The sequence below is a fragment of the Homo sapiens genome, chromosome 13 (assembly GCF_000001405.40).
Source record: "Homo sapiens chromosome 13, GRCh38.p14 Primary Assembly".
In the NCBI taxonomy this organism is placed as follows: domain Eukaryota; kingdom Metazoa; phylum Chordata; class Mammalia; order Primates; family Hominidae; genus Homo; species Homo sapiens.
The window spans coordinates 44,282,342-44,303,526 of record NC_000013.11 but is presented as its reverse complement, the minus strand read 5'-3'; the positions used below and the strand labels follow the sequence as shown (position 1 = coordinate 44,303,526).

Here is a 21,185-nt window from a genome sequence, read left to right as displayed (position 1 = left end):
ATAAGGAAAGTGTTACATAAACACAGAGTATTTTTATGTGTGCATATAAAATATATCTTCTCTGGCTAGAAGGGCCTTATTCACGGAGCTAAATAAAACAGGTTTATTTGGAATAGTAGCAATCCCAAAGGACCTGAGTATTGCAAAAAGCTTGTGTTTTGGGAAATATTAGTCAAGGGGAAAACTGTTTCTAGCATCAGTTTTTTTCCCCCATCTGTGAAGTCTTTTTTTTTTTTCCTTACACCACCGGCCACCCCCATCTGTGAAGTTTAACTTGTCTCTTACTGTCTTTGTTTTATCTTGATGAGGTTCCCCATGCATACTCATACGCTGGCATCTCTGCATAGTCCCTAATGTGGTTTGAGGCAATGGTGTGCTGGTAAATGTTTTAACAACTCGCTCTTTGTGGGGGATGACGGGGGCCTTATTTTGTAGTATTTGCCAGTTTTCATGATGTAAATGCTCCTTACCATGGCCAGTTTCAAGCTATCAACATGAGTGATTGCAGAGTTGGCAAAGATCCCCTACAGTAAGCTACCATTATATGGCTTTCCCACCACACAGATAAAGTATACATAAACAACTTCAAGAGCACAGGCAATACTAAAGTGTAGTAATGAGAAGTAATGAGTTTTGAGAGTTTATTACATTTTCAAAAATATAATTTATTTAATTCTTTTGATTTAATTTTTATTAATGGCTGTGTTAACAACTGGCTTGCAAAATTTCAGAATATTTAATAGTTGCTTCCCTGGAGCTGGTGTGAGCTGCCCCCAGCACAGCACTGGATGAGGTGTTGACCTTGATATAGCCTTGACTCCTCTGAAGCCCGTGGTTCACTTTGCCAAGGCATCTATTGGGTATTTCCACCTGGATGTCACACTATGATGGCAAAGTAAATGACTGTGAGAATAAACTCCTCATTTCCCCACTCACATCCCTTTCTGCCTTCATCCAAGTTAAAAATCTTAAAGTCACCTCTTTCCTCCTTCTCTCTCGGTCTTCCCGCTTGCTAGCCAACTATTACCAAGTCTTCCTTTGAAACATCTCTTAGTCATTCTCAAACTTGGCTGCACACTAAAGTCACCTGAGGAGCTTTAAGCAAATCCTGATGTCTGGGTTCCACTCCTACGTATTCTGGTTTAATCAGTCTAGGGTGCAGCCTGGACATCATGATTTAAAAAAGCTCCCAAGGAGAAACTAATGTGCAGCCAGGGCTGCCAATCACCATTTTTTTCTTTCTCGTTGTTATTATCTTCTAATTCAGTATAATGAAACACAGACTTGGTGATCCAACAGACTTCGGTGTGAATCTTGGCTTTGCCAAAGGGTATTCTTTTTAAGCTCCCTGAGATTCTCTTTCGCCAACTGTACAGTGGGAATAATGACCCTTTTAACATACGGTTATGTAAAAATGCCTCAGCTGAGCAGATATACAAAGCAGCAAGCAAAGTGTGACATGGAGGCTTGTATCATGGACCAAGTGAGGAATCACTAAAGCCTGAAATACAGTGATTGTCTACTGATATGTCTTTCTAAAATCTGATGTTTCACACCTATGCTCCAAGTCCTCTGTTTTTTCTCAATTGCCCAATGAATTAAGTCTGGACCCTTTAACCTGACCACATGCCTTCATATCTCACCCCAACCCACGGTGTCAGCCTCATACCTGCCCCATTTGCTCCCGTGTAACCTGTGGCCCAAACTCAGCAAAGTTTTCAGGGGTCTTCAAGCTTCCACATCTTTGCGGCTGCTGTTCCCTCTGTCTTGAACACCGTTCCTTTCCTCTCTCACCTGAACTTTCCAACACAGCTGTTAAAGTACAACTCAGAGGTCACTCTCTACAAAGTCTTCCTTGACTGCCTCTGACAAAATTAATGATCCCTTCTTTGTGTTCCCACAGCCTTTGGTACAAACCTTATTTAGCATTTGACTACATTATTTTAATGATTTGTTTTCATATCTGCCCTCCTTCAACTGTGGCTGAGTCATCTTGGTATTCCCCAATGGCCCAACGCAGATGTTTGCGAAATAAATGGGTGCATTTCCTGTCTCATTTTTCATCACTCTCTTGTCCTCCTGTATAAGAGATATGCCAATAGACTAGGTGGAGCGATCCTAGATCAGAAAACAGTACTTATAAGTATCTTAAAAGCCCCATTGAAAAGATATTTAAAACTCCCAGAAAAAGACTCCTCTCAGATCCCACATGGCAAAGCATATTGAAGTGAGTGGTGGCAGACAGGTGAATAGCATACCCTTCACCCTCAGAGAGGCTGTGAATATTAGTCACCCATGCAATGCTGCCAGGAATCCCTCTGGGGCTGGCCCAAGTCACAGAACATGTGTGGATTGTTTTCTAAGCTGTGCTGTGTTAAAATAGCAACTCCCGGTTTGCCTCAGGTGTAGAGTTTAGGTTCATGGTTCACTGGATATTTTAGGAAAATAGGAGTGAACATTCCAATCGCTTCTCTCCCCACTCGTAGTGTGTGAGGTTGTTTGTTCACATGGCTCAGACTCCGCAGAGAGCAGATTGCTGATAATGGCCATCCCGTCTCCTGGCCCTCTCCCAGAAGAACCATATTTAAGCTCTCAGTTGATGTGAATGCCCGGAAAACATTACTCTCCAGGGTAAGCTCAGGGGTGGTGTTGAGGGGCTTTGGAATCCCCGATAGAGCCAGAGCCCTGGGCCTACATTAGAGAAGAGGCTAATTTAGCTGTTTTCTGGGAGGCCATAGGTCTAACCAGATTGTAAGAATGAATAAATGAATTAACAGAGGAATCCTTCCCCTAAACTTGAAAAAAGAATTTGAAACCCTACTGTAGATTTAACCATTAATTCTCCCCTCTCATCGGTCTTCCCCAGTCTCTCCTCCAAAGATTCACCCCCTTGCTTTTGAGCACTGACTTGTTGAATGCTCTTCACTGAAGATCATTTGACCAGACTAACCTTCAGTGGCAGACAGTAAAAAAGGCCATCAGTGACCAACTCCAGGTATGGAGGCTGGACGGCTCTCTAATGAACTCCGGCTAATGCAGAAGAGAAAACACTTTAAAAACCAAAACAGGTGAAGGTCAAGGAATGATGATAGAGTAGAAAATGCCTTCATTCCTTTCATTCAAGAAAATGGCATGCAGGTGGTTGTCACTGGGTGGATCCAGTGGGCATATGTGCCAGAAATGGCATTGATGGGATGGAACTGGAGGCTGGGGACATGTTGGTGAAGTGGTGAGGTAGTGACAGGGAGGAGGGTTTGCAGAGTTCCTGCTGATTCTTATGAAAGCTCCAACAAGGGTGAAGAAAATGGATCATAATCATAGAAAACGGCTACTCCAACTCCACGTGGTTAAGTAATGGACAGGGGAGTGTCTGGGAGTGAGGGCAACGCTACCTCGTATCTACCTGGACAGGCATGGATGACATTTACTTGTCAGAATCTTCAGGTGCTAAAGAGTATACGTTCTATGAAAACAAGTGTGCTTAGAAATGCGAATGCAATTAAATTACAGGATTCAATTAACAAATACTATGTGGGATGGTGAAAGATATTGTAGGATTGCAGAGCTGTGGTTTGAGGTGCGATACCCCACAGAGAGTGTGCAGCCACCACCTGGCAGTGAGGTGAGTCTGCTGAGACAGGCTTCTCTTGATTGCCTCTCAAGGTGCTCAGAGGCTCCTGCCATCTTGGAGCGTTTGTCATTGTGATTCCAAGATAGGAATTTGCAAAGTTCTGTTTACTGGCTGTACCCAGGGATGGAGGTGGAGGTTCAGAGGGCATAGTCTTGGCCACACCACCATATTATGGGGCCAAATCAAACACCCAAATAATAGAGTGCAGGGAGTCACACCCTTATGTCACTTGATTCTCATTATATCCTTCTGAGTAGACAGGGCATTAGTTGATTCATTCAGTCATTCATCTATCCATTCTACACATACTAAGCAACATGTACCAAACTTTGTGCTAGGAATTAAGAACATAGACAGACCTTGGTTTCAAGATGCTCAGAGCCTAAGAAAGAATATTAACTTTGGTACCAGAGTGTGAAAACATCAGACTAGAGAGCTATACAGGATGGTCTGAGGACACACAAGAGAGGTGCTGGATCCAGCCTTGGAGAAAAGTCCAGGCAGTCTTGAGTTGACCTTGAAGGATGAGTAGGAGTGAGTCAAATTACAAGGAGGCAGGGGGTAGGGTTCAGATTCCAGGAAGTGGGAATTGCATTTATAAAGATATAGAGACACGAGAAAGTGTGATGATGCGGAGGGAGTAGGCATTAGAGTATGACTGGAGCAAACCAGGCGGAGGCCTAGAAAGAAAAAGTCAGAGAGATAGAAGGGGTCATATCATTGAAGACGTTGTATATCATACTAACTTTTTAAAACTTTTTTCTAAAGTAGTGAGAAACAATTGAATATTTGTTTTAAATCAACTTCATTGAGTTATTTTTACATGCAATAAAATGCACTTATTTTAAGTGTGCAGCTTGATGAGTTTTGATGGACACATTTACCTGTGTGGTAAATAGAACATTCTTATCTCCTCCAAAATTTCTTGAGCCCCTTTCTGGGTAACACTTTGCCTAACTCCCAAATCCAGACAACCACTTACCTGCTTCCAGTCACAATAGATTATTTCTGCTTATGCTAGAGTTTCATATCAATAGAATCATACAGTATGTTCTCTTTTATATCTGGCTGCTTTTACTCAGTATAATGTTTTGGAAATCCATCCATACTGTTGGCTGTGTCAGAGGTTCATTCCTTTTTATTGCTGAGTAGTATTCTGTTGTATATCACAACTGGTTTATCCATTCATCTATTGATGGCTATTGGAGGTTCCAGTTTTGGACTATTCTAAAGTTACTCTGATCATTCATGTACAAATTATTTTTGGTATGTGGATGTGAAATCTTTTTGCCATGAGTTATTATTTATCTTGAGTAAATAACTATACAAATATCCAATAAGCACATGAAAAGATGTCCAACATCATTAGTCATCAAGAAATGCAAATTGAAACTACAATGGGAGACTAGTACATTCCTATTAGCATGGCTAAAATTACAAAGACAGACCATAACAAATGCTGGTAAGGGCGGGGAGGAACTTGGGCTATCATATACTGCTACTGGGAAAACAAAATAGTACACCCACTTTGGAAAACAGTTTGGCAGTTTCCTATATATATTCATATACTCACCATATGACCCAGAAATCCCACTTCTAACTTTTTTTTTTGAGACATAGTGTTGCTCTATCACCTAGGCTGGATTGCAGTGGCACAATCATAGCTCACTGCAGCCTCAAACTCCTGGGCTCAAGCAATCCTCCTACCTCAGCCTCCTAAATAGCTAGGACTGCAGGTGAGCACCACCATACCTGGCTAATATAATTGATCTTGTTTTTTATAGAGACAGGGTCTTGCTGTGTTGCCCAGGCTGGTCTTGAAGTTTTGTCCTCAAACAAAGCTCCCACCTTAACCTCCTAAAATGCTAGGATTACAGGCATGAGCCACCATGCTCTGCCTACTAAATTTTTAACCATAGAATAACTTTGATAAGGGTAGCAACAGGAACAGATTTGGTTCTTAAAGGAACACTCTGGCAGCACTGAAGATGATAGATTCTGTGTTTAGTCTTCAGAAGCATTCATTTTGATTGTTGAAACATAGCCCATCGTGTTTAAATATTATTTGTGACTAATTATTTCCTTATTGTGGATAGTTAGGTAATGTTAGGTATTTTGCTATTGAATAGTATTCTGAATAAACGTCTTCATGCACAGAATGGGTTTGTTTCTGCTGAATTGCTTCCTTAAAATGAGTTTCTAGGATTGAGATCACTGAGTCATTGTTCTTAAAATTTTTATGCTTTTTTGGAGCCAAGTGTTGTCTGACTGCCTAAAGATTGTACCAATCAATAACAGCATTTATATTATTAATTATTTTTCATAGATCAGAAAAGAGAAGCTCAGATTAGTGAATTAGCTAACACAGGTAGGAAAATACACAGCTGTGCTTTGGAACTGTGTCCTGGACCCATCCTTAGTCTAGTGGTCCTTTCTCTCCTGCTTGCCTCTGTTAATCAAATTGTTTCTTCTAGTCACACTTGGATCTACATGAGAACCCGTCCTCTGTGCCACGGACCCTGCTAGATCCGAGGACTACAAAAGAAGAAAATGCAGTTCTTTTTTTCGAGGACCTTATGGTCTAGGGACCTTCCCCATTTCCCTCCTCTCTGCCTCACTGGCATGGAGAAAATCTCAAGTGAACAGACTGAATGACAAAAGGAAGGAAAGAAAAAGTGTTAAAGCCATATGCCAGGCTATGGCTTGGATAATAATTTTGACTCAGCTTCCAGGACCATGCTGAGAATAGCGAGCAAATTGCATCCCATGTTGTGCCAGCATTTGGCTGGGTCAGCCAGCCACTTGGGTGAAGGCCTGGAATTAAAAAACCTATCTCAGTGGGACATGACAGCAGAGATTCAGTGTGAGCTTAAGAAGGAGGGAGAATACAGAAGCGTTCAGCGGGGAGAGTGACAAGTTGAAGCAATAGCCGGGGGAGTCTGATGGAGGCATTCTGAATCGAGTGCATTTTATTGTGAACAACTCACATTTCTTGAGTTCTTTCTGTGTGGTTGGCATTGTTCTAAGTACTGGAAGAAAGTAGAAGAAAAGGGTTTGGGGGCTGGAGATCAAGATGTTCCAAGAAACATCTGGCAGTAATCAATGCAAGTAAGGTAGGAGGTGGAGTATGGAGGTGGTCCCGTCACATTTTAGTGTGTTTCAGCTCTCTCCCTCCATCCCTCACTCCATTTCAGCACCCCCTTTCTCTACCGTCTCCCCAACAGCATGTCCTGGGCCTCCAGACTCACAGGTAGCTCTGTGCTGCTATCCCGGCCCCTCACAGAGACACCTTGCCCAAGTCTGCCCCCCTATGCTAGGATGACAGCCCCAAATGCCTGCAGATGCCAGTCAGGTCAGATGAGTGAGTAAAGAGGGGTGTTACAGGGGACCAGTGGTGGGGGCTGTGCGGAAATAGATAGCTCCTCACCATCTCAAAGGAGGAGCTGCTACTGCTCTGCCAGAGGAATACTGTTGATGTGAATGGAACTGGGCATTACTAGATAGCCCAAGGTTCCAGGAGTGGGGAAATGAGTTTATATGAGATTTTCACTGTGTTTAAATTTTGGAGATCCAGTGAATTTAAACATTTTTTTCCCCACAGTTAGTATTGGCTAAATAAAATAAGACTTTGGGCTGGCCTCCACTGGGGGCCTCTCATCTGCGCTTCTGTTTTAGGCAATGTCATGTTTCTTTTTCTTTCTCTCTCAAAGACTGTCTCTCACTCCTAGGGTCTGCTCCCTCAGGACCCAGGGAGGTGGCTGATCAGATAATTAAGTTCTGAGCTTCATAATGGCTTCATGGTGACAAATTTGCCATTGCCTTCCAAGCTATGACCTGGAGGTACTGGGGCTGATAGGGAAAACTGAGGCCCCATAGGAGGTGGGAGTGATCTCAGGGTGGGCTGGCCCTTTTGGTCCTAGCCCTCAACAGACCCTATGGGCAGCCCATGAGCTCTGACCCTATCTAGAGTTAGTTCCCTCTTCAAGTTTTCTGGGGGAACTCAGTGATTATTTACAAATGGCTGCACGTGGGCCTGGGGCTTGGGATGGAGAAGGGTTGGCTCTGGGGGAAGGCAACTGCAGAAATGCAGGAGTGACTGGCCCAGAAGCCTTCTCTGTGTAGCTTAGGTTTAGCATTAAGGCCCTATCTGCATTGCCCAATATAGTAGCCACTAGTCACATGAGGCTATTTAAATTTAAATTCATTAAAATTACATAAAATTTAAAAAAATGTTGGTCCTCGGTTACACTAGCCACATTTCAAGTACTCAATAGGCACATTGAGCTGGGTGGCTACTGCATTAGCTGGTGCAGATCTGGGACATTCCATCACACAGATAATTCTATTGGACAGCACGGCTGGGCCACCAGCCCATGAGGAAACAGGCCTGGGGATCCGGAGAACTGAATTTTGGTCTTAGTCCAGGTACCCACTGGCTTTGTGACACAGTCAAATGGTTTAATTCCTCTGGATCTTGTTTCTTCATTGGTAAAAAGGAGATAACATTTTTCTACAAGATTCCCTTGAGAATCAAATAAAAATACAATCGTGTTGGCATTATAGTGATTAATAATGTTAACAAGGCCCATGACTTCCTAGCCAGATGCTGTCCTGAATGAGGGGAAGAAGCCTTTACTCCTCTCACTTGGTCTTCAATCTAATTCTTGGATTTTACTGTATTAACTTTGCTTAGCATAACCTCAGAAAGATTCCCTAGGTTCATGTAGGCAGGGAGGATGAGCAAGAAGGAAGAACTGTGATGTGGATGCTGCTCCATGAGTTGGGTAATGCCCAGTTTGCACAACTGTCCAAGGTAGACTGGGGGAGGTTCAGGGTTTCTTCACTGGAACCAGTGAAGAAAGGAGAACTGGAGGGGTCAAGCGGATCTGGTTAGCAGTGGATATTGGTAATGCTGAAAAGCTGCAGGGGATCAGCTCTAGTGCCTGGCATGTGGTAGAAGCTGAAGAAATACTTGTTAAATGAATGAATGAACCATGCAGAGGGTAAAGACTAATGGGCAATGGGCAACTTCTGATGACCTTGGCTGCTCTGCTGACTTCTCCATCAATATAAAGTCTTGAGTTAATGGGGCAAGGGAGTGGAGCAGGATTAACCTGCAAATAGGATGCAGAAAATACAAAGGATGTATTTCTTGGGCATCTGCTATGTTCTAAGTATTCTGCATGTTTCTGTGTATTTCTTACAAATATCCTGCAAGGTAACTGTCTTTATCTCCATTACGTAAGTGTGAATTGCCCAAAGTCACATATTCTTGTGCAACCATCAGTTGCAGATCCAATATTTAAACCTTAAATCCATACCTTCCTGCCTATGCCAAATGACCCCTAAACAGGTAGCATGTTCTCTCTGAGGACATGTTGCCCAAGCTTTAATGCAATAAGTTGCAGTAATCTCTGAATTTTAGGGGGACTCTTGACTTGACTAATGCTTCTTTTGGTTTAGTTTTTGTTTTAAACTGGCTTGTTTCTGCACAGCACCATTTATACAAGGAATTCACAGCACTTTGTGATTAGGTTCCTTGAACATGCAACAGCATTAAAGTTGTTTTTTATCCCATCTGTAAATGCAGAAAATACAGTGCAAGGAAGTCATGTGACTTGTCAGAGTGTAAAAGTGAGTCATTGGTGAAGTGTGTACAGAAATGAGGACTGTTAAGACTATTTTGAGAACTGACATGAATCTAGGATGTATAATATTATGTATCTATTGTTGTAGTTATGGAATTGTTTAATATTTTTTGCTTCTTTAACTTCAGTGCTTGCAATTGTATATTCCAGAATGCAACAAAGCAATGCCAAGAGGCTTTCAATGACAGAACACAGGCATCAGTTACAGGCCGTTCTGCCTGGAGATTAGTTTCTCTTATGCGAACAGCATGTTGAGTCACATCAGATCTTACTTACTACTTTTGTTTCTATTAATGGCTTTGCAAACTCTCAACTTGCAAGTGTGTCTGCATGGCTAAGGATGTTTGAAGGAATGAACATCAGAGAATTGTAGGGGAGCCCTCTGCCCTGGTCCTTCCTGGACCTTTCCTTTCACATTTACCCCCTAGATGAGGTCTTTCAATTGCAGATGTAACCACGTCCCCTCATGTTCCAATGAGGACCAACCTGGGAGCCTAGATGTTCTGAGACAGGGTCTCCCAGGCTTGGAATGCCCAACTCTGTTCTCGAAGTTGCTGGAAGGCAGCCTGGACGTAAGAGAAGAAAAAAAAATTAAGTCAATCATGTGTACAACTCCACAGTGGCTCTGATACCGAGTTCCTCAAAATGTGTTTCACAAGATGTCAGTTCCATGAACCGCTCTGTGATAAACAGATTCCAGGTCCAAAGATCTGGGGAAAGTTGTGGGTGATGTCACCCATGCAGAGACCCACAGTGTAAATCAGCATATTGGAAATGACAGGAGGCCCTGTAGAAAAGAAACCCATCTCTTTTCGTTTAAGATACTGATATCTTTTGGATGTTTGTCTCCTCCTAATCTCATGCTGAAATTTGGTCTGCGGCGTTGGAGGTGGGGCCTTTTGGGTCATGGGGATGGATCCTTCATGAACGGCTTGGTACCCATCTTGTGGGACTGAGTATGTCCTTGCTCTTAGTTCTCATGAGCTTTATTTGTTAAACAGTCTGGCACCTCCTTCCTCTGCCTCTCTTTCCACTATGTGATCTCTGCATGGCAGCTCCGCTTGCCTTCTGTCACGAGTGGAAACTTCCTGCAGCCCTCACCAAAAGCAGATGCTGACACTATGCTTCTTGTACAGCCTGAAGCACTGTGAGCCAAATACACCTCTTTTCTCTATAAATCACCCAGGCTGAGATATTCCTTTAGAGCAATGCAAAAGGACTAAGATAGATAGTTTTTCTAAAATTTTCTTGAATGTGGAACTCTACTCCCCCTCCCCCATCACATCTCTGAATATCCCAGGAAAATACTGACCACTGAGGGAAGAGGCAGATGCAGAAGACTGGATCTACTGGCTGAAAGAGTGAACCCACTTCCATTGCCTGTTACTCAGATTAGTAAATCCCAGACTCTGTTTAGTAAATCACCATGGTAGCAGGAAGCTGACATAATAATATTCAAAGCACATAAAAGTGCATTCACTTTGACCAGAAAAGCTCCCCTGTCACATGCAATGCTTAGCAAAAAGAAAAGGACTACAGGCTGGCCCTCCCAGAAGCCTGATCATTCTCAGTGACTTCCTCAGAGAACTCCTGCTGACTCCTCACTCAGCGTTGGCCTTCTTCACTGTATACTCTCTGAGAACCTGTTCCTTTCCTTCAGAGCACTCATCTCCATTGGAATTAGTGATCCACTATCATGGTTATTGGTTTATGGCTTTCATTTGACTAAAAGCAGCAAGAGAATACAGACTAATCCTTAATAGGTCTTCAGTAAATATGTGTCAAAATTTTTTATTAAATCCATTAGGGGTCATAAAAAATCCACATCCCTTGGGACTCATTAAACCAGACACTTCTTCACCCTCTAGGCAAAAATCTGTATGAGTTTGCTAGGGCTACTGTAACAGATTTCTACAAACTTAGTGGCTTAAAACAACAGAAACTGACTCTGTCATAGTTTCAGAAGCCAGAAGCCTGAAATTGGGGTGTGGAGGTTGATTGCTTCCGAAGGCTCTGAGGGACGCTCTGTTCCAGGCCTCCCTCGGCTTCTGGAGGCTCCTGGGAATCCTTGGTGTTCCTTGGCATGTAGACATATCACTTCAGTCTCTGCCTTGGTCTTCTTCTCCTCTCTGTGTGTCTCCTCAGAGATGCCCATAGAAAAACTCCGAATCTCTCACGTGTAACAAATGTTTACATGAAACCTTCTGCCGCAACACCATGTCCTTTCCCACCAGCAATTATCCACCCACATCCTTCTATCTTTTTTTGTGGACATCCAAGGTTCTCTAAAAACTGGAGGCTTACTCCTCTCACTCTCATTAAGTCTCTCAACAGACATTTGTTGGTCTTCCCTGAAGGGTAATAAGATTTCCCCAGATGGAGAAGACAAAGGCATTTCTGGTGGTGAAAACATAAGGAGCAAACCTTGGTCTGGTTGAGAAACAGAGAATAGTTAATCTCTTTCTTTCTCTTTCCCTGCTTCCTCGTGCCTGCAAGCCACAGAATTCCCAAATTACCCATTCACACACCTTGTCCTTAGCCACAGCAGGGCCAGATTGGTGTGGCTGCAACTATAGACAGGAGAGCTGCTGTAAAAGAGGTTGCTAGGTTGTGAGCAGAAAAACCCAGGCAGTTAACAAAATCAGAACTAGGAATTCCACCTTCCCCCTGGAAACTCACCTCTTGGATGAACTACATGATGACTGTGAAGTCTTGGGTAGCGGCTGCCCCTGAAAGAAGTAAGGCTGAATGTAAACTTGCTCGTAGAGAGTTTTGGTTCTGCATGATAATTCACTTCCTCCGGGGGTAAGATGAGAGCCAAAGAGCTAATCTAGAAAATTGAACTAGAAAAATGTCCTGCCCTACTTTCAATAAACTATAGAATTTATGGCTTCCCTTATGAATGTACATCTCAGGTAAATATATTGGTGGAGCATGGGAGGTGCCCTGTCTTTGAGCATTGAAGCGGGTCACCTTTGGAGCCATGGTTACCTGTTGGGCTAGGATTCCCCGTCCCAGAAAAGCTCTCCTCTTTGCGAGTCCCTTGCACACCTTCATCTTTCCCCTTTCAAGCCCCAAATATGCACTGTTACAGAGTAACGCCACTGGGCAGAATAATATCTGGCATAGAATAATACCTCTTATTGTCCCATATTACTTCGGATGAGGTGTTGAGGGCATAATGACGGCTCCATCAATATACCAAGAAGAAAAATGAAAGAAGAGGCAGTGTTTTGTCTTTTTCTGGTCATAGGGAAGGGGAGAGAAGGTACGTCTGAAATAATCCATTTGGTGTTTTCATCTACTCCCTAAAAAAAAAAAAAAAAGTAAAATGTGAACCCACATTTTATGAGGAAGAGCTTGAGAAAAAGAAATGAAATGCTGAGGAAATTTCTTAATGATTGCCAAATACATACCTTGCCTGAAGAAAAATATGTTTCTGAGAATTTTGTAGGAAAAGAGCAAAGAACAATGCAGTAACATCAATGTCTATGTCTGTGGAGGCAGGAAATATTTTCTCAAAATTAAACTTCAAACAGATATTGATGATTTCAATATTGAGACACTTAGACAGAGGAAACCTCGGATGGGTTTTAAAATTTCACTTTCTAATATTCTTCTCCTTTCTTTACAGGATGCCAAATATAAGAACTTCAGAATTAAATCTAAGGGATGTAGTACTTGGTATTCTGGAAGTATTCACTAGCAAATATGTCAGACCCTAATAACGATGGGTCTGACATATTTACACGAGAGAGAAAAGACATCTTTTTAATTCTTTCAGATCAGGCATATGAAATGTATTTCATTAACCCTGATGCATTAGAGACCCTCAGCTCACATATTTTATTTTGCAAAAGAGCACTATGTACATTTCTCTCTAATGTCTGCTTGCTTTGAGAAATCTTTTTACCCTTCACACACAGACACACACACCAGATGCGTATCTTCAAGGTATGTAAATTTCCAAACTATATCCTCAACTAGGTGAGTTGCAAAATGGGTCATTCAGTTCTTTCAACCAAAGAGAGAAACCATCATTTGAAGGTTTCCTTCCCAAGGCTGGAGTGTGGAGTGGAGACTTGGGGGAGGAGGGTGGACTTTTACTGGGACAAATGATAGAGGGTTTGGGAACCTTCCACTCTATCGATGAGGAAACTCTCATCTTAAATAATACTTGCTGCACCAGGTGTGCTCACTGAATCCTTGGACTGCATGACACAAGTGCTGATGAAAGTCAAGCCAAAGAAAGCAGCCAAGGAGGGACCAGAGCGGAAGGAAGATATTTCCAGATGCGATTTGAAATGAGATCATGAGTTGATGAGGTGAAGACATGCAGGCTGGCTGTTTAGAAGACAGGAGCTGCAGAAGGTGTCACTGCTTACAGCTTAAAGGGACAGGAACATCAAATATTAAAAGTTCTACATATGGCACAAAAGATTGTTTTAGAATCTGAAAATGTTATAAGAATACAGATTTAATTTTAAGTGGTTTTGCTGAAAATGATTTTCAAAAGCCCAGTAGTTGTTTTACATGATATGATGGTGCAGTGGTTGAATCGTGGCTGCCAAAAACATATGTCCCCATTCTACCCCCTAGACCTGTGAATGCAACTTTATTTGGAAAGAGTTCTTTGTTTTTTCTTTTAATTAATGAATTAGTTAATTATTTCTGTGCCTGTGCTTACCCCACCCCCTTTTTTCTAACTTAAAGTTAAGAATCTGTAGACGAGATCATCCTGGATACCCCAGGTGGGTCCTAACCCCATTGATAAGTGTTCCATAGCCACAAAAGAGAATGCACAGAGACACAGAGGAGAAGGCCTTGTGAAGAAGGTGGCAGAGACTGAAGTTACACAGCTACGAGCCAAGAAATGCCTGGAGCCACCAGACACCGGGAGAGGCAAGGGAAGTTTCTCTGCTAAGCAATTTCAGAGGGAGCCTGGTGCTGCCAGCACTTTGATTTTGGGCTTCTGGCCTCTAGAACTGTGATACAAAAAAGTTTTCCTGTTGTAAGCCACTAGTTTGTTGTAGTTTGCTACAGCAGCCCTAGCAAACGAATACAGGTGGTTGTAGCAGGATCGTAGCACCCAGGCAGACCTGGCTGTGAATCCTGACTCCTCCTTTTCCTAGCCTTTTGCAAGTTATTTAGCATATCTAAATATCAGCTTTGGCATCTGTAAAAGTGCTAAGATACTGGCACCTGCCTCATAGGTGTGAGGAGCAAAGGAGTCAGCATGTGGAAAGAATGGAACACAGTGAATAGGTGCACAGTAACGGTGGCTGATGTCATTATACAGACAATTGTCTCCCCTACTTTAATCCATGTGCCCTGGTGGGCACACATCACCCCCGTGTGCTGTCTGGGAAGGGGTTCTGTCTCAGTTCCAGATCCACCTTTCTATATTCTGCTCTGCTGGGCTGGGACTCTGCTGACTACACATCTCCTTTGCCAATCAGGGACCCTAGGGGGAAGCCGGTTGGCACAGGATGGGAGGAGAGACTTGGCCCTTCTGTTTGCCTGCCTGTGCTGTCAGCAGCATCCCAGCATTGACCTTTCACCCTGGAAGCAGCATTGGTTCCAGTGCGTTGTGGTTTCCAGTTTCTTGCAGTACTCCTGGAACCAGCCCCATCACAGCTGCTTTGAGGTACCAGCACGAACCAGGCAGTGCCCCCTCCACAGGAGTCTGAGTTCCAGCTTCTGAGGGGCTCCTCCTTCAAGCTGCTAGGAGCTGACGACCCCAGGCTGCTTCCTAAGTTTCCCTGCCCCTTAGAGAGGGTAGCTACTTCTTATATCCAGCACTAGAGGTGTTTGCTACTTCCTAATAAGCTTTTTTTACTCAGGGTTCCCCATTTGCCTCTCATATACCCCTACCCCCGTTTAACCAATTTCCTATAATAAATCATCTTTGTTAAAATCGCTAGTGACGTTTTGCTTTCTGACTGTACCTTGGCAGATACTACACTCTATGTAGGTTGCTTGCTTTCCTGTGTGTACGAGAAATGGTTGGTACAGCCGAATAAGCGCTGAATTAAAACCAGAAAGATGTAAGTTTGTTCCTTGGCTCCCACTTTCTAGCTGAGAAATCTTGGCCAAAATACTTGGCTTGTTTGAGAGTCCAATTTTCTTATTTGTGAAGTGGGATTAATCATGTTTATCTTGTAGGAATACATATAGTTGGATGAGATAATGTCTAAAAAGCATCTGGCACCTAACAAATATTTGAAAGATGTTGGCTGTCATTATGTATCAGAAACAAATCTTTGCATTTTGTATCTCTTATAGGTTCCTCTGCTTTTCACTCTTGGGCTTATAAACTCCTCTGGGCACACCTGGACTTTCTTATTTCAGCTTCCTTGGTTCATTTAGGGTATTTGTTTTAGATAAGAAGACTGAAGTTCTATTGTATTAATTAGCATGACCCCAAGCAACTTAAGAATGAGGACATGATAGTTATGAGTGTGAAAGGAGTTGGCTTTAAACTGAACAATAAATCAAAGATGAAAAACAAGACCCTCATTGGGGAGTGCCACCGGGATGTCTTTGATAGCATGGTGCTCACCATTGTTCACTCAGCAATCTTTTCTATATGGACGCACTCCTGACTTTTAGAAGCACAATCAATAAGAGGCTATTGACATCCCTGGGGGTGGTGAAATGTGCATTAAAAATTAAACAAATATAATCTGGCTGGGACTGTTTGCCTGAGAATTAGTCAAAACTCATTTGAAGCCACTTCCATGTTTAAAGACTTTTTCAATGTCAAAAACGTAATCTGTCAGCCACCAAACATTCTCTAGCCACCTGCTGTAGGTAAGAAAGCATTCAGGAGGGGCTGCCAGAATTAAAGGCAAATGAAAACTTTGATCTTAGCCCATGTGGGATTTTGAGTATACTAAGGAGACCAAACTGATGGGCCTGAACTTAAATAGAATATCTGCACATGTGATTCCTCTAAGCTCTACTATTACAGGATTTTCCAGAACTTCCAGGAAGACTCCTGATGCAGAGCCTGAGGCATAGGAAATACCACTGAAAACTTCTCAGAATCTGTTGGGAATGATTTCTCCATTCCGTCTTCACATCCCTTCCATCCACCCTCAATACCCTGAGGTGTTGCGGGGCATCATCACGTCAAACTACAGGAGGCTTAACCCATCCATTTGGTTCTCAATCATTCCTGTTGTCCACCATCAAAGTTTATCCTCCCTACTCTCTCAGGACCCTACTCTCTTTCTCTATATGAAAATATTCAGCTACTCAGCTATATAAACCAGGTCCTACACTAGACACTGGGCTAGGCCTCCTGACACAAAGATACATGGGCCATAGACTGTGGCCTCAAGGAGCTTACAGTCTCAGCAGGAGAGACAGGTGAACACTGTGTGTATGAAATCTTGGATTCTAGGATGATATAGCCCAAAGAGGGAGTAGCCATTCTACAAAGATGTGATGAGAAAGAGTTTCACAGACCCTTCTAAACGGATTGTTTAGGGAATATAAATTTAGAATGTGAGAAAAAGGGAATTGCAGGCACTATGACAGAATAGAGAGGAGGCAAGCAATACGTTGAAGTCTGAAAATACAGATGGATAGCAGGTTCTAACCTCAGGGGACCAGGAGAAAGAGAGGGGCCCAGGATGGTGGTAAAAGAATTGGTTTGGGAGACAGCACAAGAAAAAGGGTTCTTGCTTTAACTACCTTTGTTTCATGCTGCATTTGGAGAAAGTGCTTGGGGGAAGCAACAGGGCCCTGTGCTCCTGTCATCAGAATCCCTCGGCTGGGATTCTGATGACAGGTCTGCTGTGTTCCTCCCTACCTTCTGGCCCAGGAAACAAAACAGTGGATGTTTTATTCCAAAGATATCCATTGGGCATCTCTCGCAACATGGCTCTGTGCTAGTTATAGTGGGAGGTAATTAGTATGCTTTTTGACAAGTATTTTTGAACATCTATTATTTTCCTAGCACCATGCTAGCTGCTTTAGAGGCAAATGAAAATTGACAGTTTCTGCCATTAAAAATTTGCAATTTTTATTGGGAAGCCAGATTTATGTGTGGATCTCCATGTAACAGAGTCATGGCCAAGGGGGAGGTATACAGAGGATTCCTCAGGGGTACAGAGAAGCAGCACTCAGCCCAGCCTGGAGCTTCTGGGAAGGCTTCAAGAGGTGATGGAAGCTGAGCTGAGTGTTGAAAGGTGGGTAAGGGGTACCTACGTCAAAAAGATAGACAGAAACTCCAGACGGAGGAAGGAACATGAGTGATGGTGCAGAAACGCCAAACAACAGGCTACATATTGGCAACTACAAGTGCTTTAGCACAGCTGGAGAATAAAGTGTAAGTCAGGGAAAGGCCAACAAGGAAATAAGAAGCATAGAGTTCAGTTCATGCAGGACCTGAGGGGCTGGGCAAAGTGTGGACCTTTATTCTCTTGTATTGGGGAGCCATAGAATGTTTTATGTTGAGAGGGACAGGCTTAGATGTCATCTAACTGCAGAATAGAAGATGGCTCAGGGGAGAGCAGATGGGGAGAGAGCACTGGGGAAAAGAACTAATGTATGCTGGGCTTAATACCTTGGTGATGGGTTGATAGGTGCAGCAAACCACCATGGCACACGTTCACCTAGGCGACAGACCTGCACATCCTGCACATGGACCCCAGAACATTAAAATAAATTATCATTCTTAGTGCTTAATGTGTTTTATATTTCTTTAATAAATAATACTTAGAAAAGAAAAAAAGAAGATGGCTCAAAAGGGTCAACAGTGGAAGCAGGGAGTCAGGAGTCTTATTCAACAGTTCAGGCAAGAGACAGTGAGCTCCTCAGCTAGGAAAAGGCAGGGTAGGCAGGGAGGAGGGGATGGGTCTAAGGACTGTTTAGGAGGTAAAAGAAGAAATTGGCTTTAATGATGGGCTGGCTGAGGGAGATGAGATAAAAGAGAAGGATGAATCAGGTTGCAGCTTGGCTGAATGGGGCAGCTGAGATAGGGAATATGAGAGAGAGAGCAGAATTTTGAGGATGTGGGGAAAGTTTATGAGTTCAGCTTTGTTTGGATGAATATGAAGTACCTGGAGGGCGGAAAGAGGACTTATTCATATCCTTCGCCCACTTTTTGATGGGGTTGTTGGGTTTTTTCTTGTAAATTTGTTTAAGTTCCTTGTAGTGATAGACTGGATAAAGAAAATGTGGCACATATACACCATGGAATACTATGCAGCCATAAAAAAGAATGAGTTCATGTCCTTTGCAGGGACATGGATGAAGCTGGAAACCATAATTCTCAGCAAACTAACAAAGGAACAGAAAACAAAACACCACATGTTCTCACTCATAAGTGGGAGATGAACAATGAGAACCCGTGGACACAGGGAGAGGAACATCACACACTGGGGCCTGTTGGGGAGTTGGGGGCAAGGGGAGGGAGAGCATTAGGACAAATACCTAATGCACGCAGGGCTTAAAACCTAGATGATGGGTTGATGGGTGCAGCAAACCACCATATCACATGTATACCTATGTAACAAACCTGCACATTCTGCACATGTATCCCAGAACTTGAAGTAAAATAAAAAAAAAAAAAGAGGACTTGTTCAGCAGGGAGTTGGATATCTAACCTGAAGTTGCTAAGAGAAGCAGGAGTGACCGTGAGCATCATCAGCATATGGGTGACAACAGAACTGAGACAGGGGCTGGAGTCACTTACTCATGAAGGGCAAAACAGGAGACAGAAAGAAGAATAACAATCCTCCCTCCCTTGAGGGAATATATACTCTATGCAGGAGAGAGATATGTACCCAAATAACTGTAATAAAGGAACCATACAATAATCTCTATAATTATAGCAACTGCATTTTTCTGGTCAAATATTGGATCATGTGGTCTCACCAAGGTTTGGTCACAGACAAAATTGTTGAAGGAGAATTGTATCAGAAATCCATTTGGCTGAGTTCTAATAGAGGTACAAGTAAAGTGTTTTTAAAGCAATGAATAAGAAGAAATTTGTGGAGAGAGAGGAATTTGAGTTGATTCCTGAAAGTGGGCTTAGAAAGCTTCAACTCTACCTGTACTTAATACTATCTTTGTTGTATATTGTGTCAACCTGCAGCCAAGAATAGGGTTGGCACTGGTGAAAAAATTGTGAGTCCTGCAATAATCTCACCCTGGCTAAAGGATTTTAGAGGGGATGTGTCTTGGGGCCCCAGGTCCTCTTTTGGACTTCTGAGACCTAGTAATTTGTACTAGTGTCATCTTTTCCTACCCTGTGTCAACCAATGGGCATATACCTAAATGTATACGATGAATGAACTCCAGTGTTTACAAGTGTAATGGGGTCTCAGTTATATCTAAACTGGAATTCAGAGTATGTTTATCTGCAAGTAAATGAGCTATTGACTAGCTAGCTTCCCCGTCCCCCTCACATCTGTTTCTTGAATTGTTCTGCATGAGTTTTTTTCTTTCCTGAAGGGTGGTGGAGGTAGTTTAGTGAGTAGGGATCTTGGAGAGTCATGAGAGAAATAGGAATGGTAAGAATTCCAACAGTGTATATCTCCTCTGCTTTGTGTTGTGAATCTCAACTTTTTATTTGGAAAAATTTGAAATCTTCAAAAGGTTGCAAGAATAGTGCATTGAATACCCTTCACCTGGATTCACCAATATTAACACTTCGTAGTATTTGCTTCCTTTTCCTCCATGTACACATGTGTACATAGGCGTTTATTTCTTGCTGAACCACTTGAGAGTTAGTTGCAAGCATCATGAGCCTTTATCCCAAAATACTTCATCATTTCTATCCTAGCAAAAGGGGCATTATTCTATGTAACTACAATATAATTTTTACATTCAAAGTTGAGTGTTTATACAACAATATTATCTAATATGCATCCTATTCAAATTTCCTCAATGTTCCCACTAATATCTTTTATGGCATTTAAGAAAATTTTAGGATCTAATGCGGGACCATTCACTGTATTTAGTTGTCATTTCTCTGGTGTCATCCTTTGCAGGGACATGGATGAAGCTGGAAACTATCATTCTCAGCAAACTAACAAAGGAACAGAAAACCAAACACCGCATGTTCTCACTCATAAGTGGGAGATGAACAATGAGAACACATGGACGCAGGGAGGGGAACATTACACACTGGGGCCTGTTGGGGAGTGGGGAGTTTTGGGGAGTCCCCTTTAGTCTAGAGAACAATCCTCAGATTTGTTGTGGTCTTTCTATAACATTAAGATTTTTGAAGAGTCTGGGACAGTTATTTCACAAATCCTCAGTTTGGATTTTTCTGGTTGTTTCCTTGGGGTTAGATTCAGATTAGACATTGGGTGAGACTAGATTTTGAGCCTTCAGAGTGAGGGTTCAAGGCAGAACTGGAAGAGCTGCGGAATGGGGACCCTGCCCTGGACAGGGGAGCCTCTGTGGACAGCACATCTCAGCCTGGCTCCGGCATGTGAAGGACTATGTGGGGTCAGTGTGCTGTGCCAATTCCAGGGCATTGCAGTGGAGAGATGATCAGGTCAGCGGCACAGAGAAGACTTGGAGACAGAGGCCTGGAGCAGCTGTCAGGGACTCATAGGAACCCGGCAAGAGGCACAGAAGAGTGGTGGGGGCTTGGCCAGAGCAGCAATATCCTCAAAGGGGATGTGCCTGTGGATGTGTAGGGCTCGTCTATGGGTTCCAGAAATACTTGGGAGGGACTTGCTGGGTAGGAATGGAAAGGTTCCTTCAGTTATCCCTGTAGGTGCCACAGAGCCAAGGAAATCTCACCTGTCACCACCCATGTGTATGTGTGTGTTTTGGGGCAGACATGAGGGTGCTGGTATTCTCTAAGATGAAGGTTCCTGTATTGTTGATAATCTTTGCCTGATTAAACCCTGACAGTGGGGTAGAATTCCAATAGTTAG

General features: G+C 42.9%; 1 annotated feature.

Moving 5' to 3' along the window:
* Positions 1,956-2,145: an enhancer, noted in NCBI's record as "active region_7673". NCBI's record gives its function as "activates an Ori minimal core promoter by ATAC-STARR-seq in GM12878 lymphoblastoid cells {active_cell/tissue: GM12878}" and the evidence as "EXISTENCE:reporter gene assay evidence [ECO:0000049][PMID:35858748]".